The following is a 1,441-nucleotide window of genomic DNA, read 5'->3' on the forward strand; positions in this document are numbered from 1 at the left end:
CTCTGCTGGTGTGCGCGGGAAGTAGGGCAGGTTTGATGCTATTACATTTGCATGCTCTGTCCTTATTTTCTCTTCACTTTCCCTGCGTGTGCCTGTTTTTGCTGAATTAATGAAAAGAGTATGTTCCTGTTTCTGCTGAATTAATGAAAAGGGCGTGTGCCTGAGCTTGCCTCTCATGCAGGACACCCTACAGTGTACTGAGACTCTATTCACGTGGCTCCCTCCTTGGAGCCAGGCTGGAGCTTGGAGTGGACACGGGGTCCCCAGGAGTCAGTGGTGGGGACAAGAAGCATAATTCAGGGGCCCAGGGTGCTCCCCTGGGAAGGGCGCTGACTGGTGTGGCCCCCACTGCTGGAGGGATGCCCCACCCTGAAGCCCTCTTCTGCTCCCCTGGAGAGGAGGTGGAAGCCTCACGTATGACAGGAACAACCATTCCTGTTACTGTATCCTAGAAGAGTCAGCACCACTCTTTCACACTGCAGGAGGAGCCGCTGTGAGTCTGCGGTGGGAGACGGCAGAACAGACTCCTAAATCAAGTGCAGCAAGCTCCCCGAGGACCCTGTCGCTTGAGATCAAAGTCTGGACAATAATTACACAACATGGAGCGTCGCTTGCTTCCGGCCCCTTTCTGAGCCTCTCCTCTGTCCACAGCCACCCACAGCAGCTCTCCAGCTATGGCCACCCCCAGTAGCAGGAAGGAATGTCGGTGATTACCCAATTCTGATTTCAAGGCCAGCTCCCAATTCATTCATGCTGAAGATGGGCCTTGGCCTCTCTGCCTCTTCCCTCCCCCTGGTGGACTCGGCCTTGACTCTTCAATGATTTACTGCCAGACCCAAACAGCAGCGCAAAAATTGGACAGTGGCATTCCCCACTTTCCCTTGCTCAGACCCCAGACCCTGAAATTGACAGACCCTCCAAGGAATGGCAGGGAGGTCTCGGGACCCACAGAGTAGGTGTGGGGCAGGTGCAAGATCCTCCCAACAGCAAGTGGAGGTTCTGGCTGACACAGCAAACCCAGGCCCCCAGAGTGGCGTCAGCAGGGAGGCAGGACACATCTCTGAGCAGAGCAGTGAACTGTCCGTGAGGAACAGCCATGAAAGGACCACCTGCCCAGGATATCTTCTTCAGCAGGGCGAGAGGCAAACGTATCCTGGGAAACGCTGCAAGAACGGCCAGCGCCTTCACCAGAATTTTCTACTGGAAACTGCCGGAGGGATGGTGAAGATGAGGAGAAGGCCACAGCCAACTGCGGGCAAAAGAACAGCCAAACTCACACCGCGTCTTGTTTTTTATTTACCTATGCAGTTCCCAGGCCGAAAATTGCACAACCGCATCGCATCCCTTTACAGTTGAAACAGATTCCCTGACAGAGCGACGGTGGTAAACACACCTGCACTTTGCTCTTCGAATCACACCTAAGTTCATCAGCTGTGTCACA

The 1,441-nt window shown here is 54.4% G+C and overlaps 1 annotated feature.

The window, feature by feature from the left end:
• Positions 703–1,238: an enhancer, noted in NCBI's record as "H3K4me1 hESC enhancer chr14:101755079-101755614 (GRCh37/hg19 assembly coordinates)". NCBI's record gives its function as "activates a minimal SCP1, AML or CMV promoter by ChIP-STARR-seq in naive H9 embryonic stem cells {active_cell/tissue: H9 hESC(naive)}" and the evidence as "EXISTENCE:reporter gene assay evidence [ECO:0000049][PMID:30033119]".

Source organism: Homo sapiens, chromosome 14 (assembly GCF_000001405.40).
Source record: "Homo sapiens chromosome 14, GRCh38.p14 Primary Assembly".
In the NCBI taxonomy this organism is placed as follows: Eukaryota; Metazoa; Chordata; class Mammalia; order Primates; family Hominidae; genus Homo; species Homo sapiens.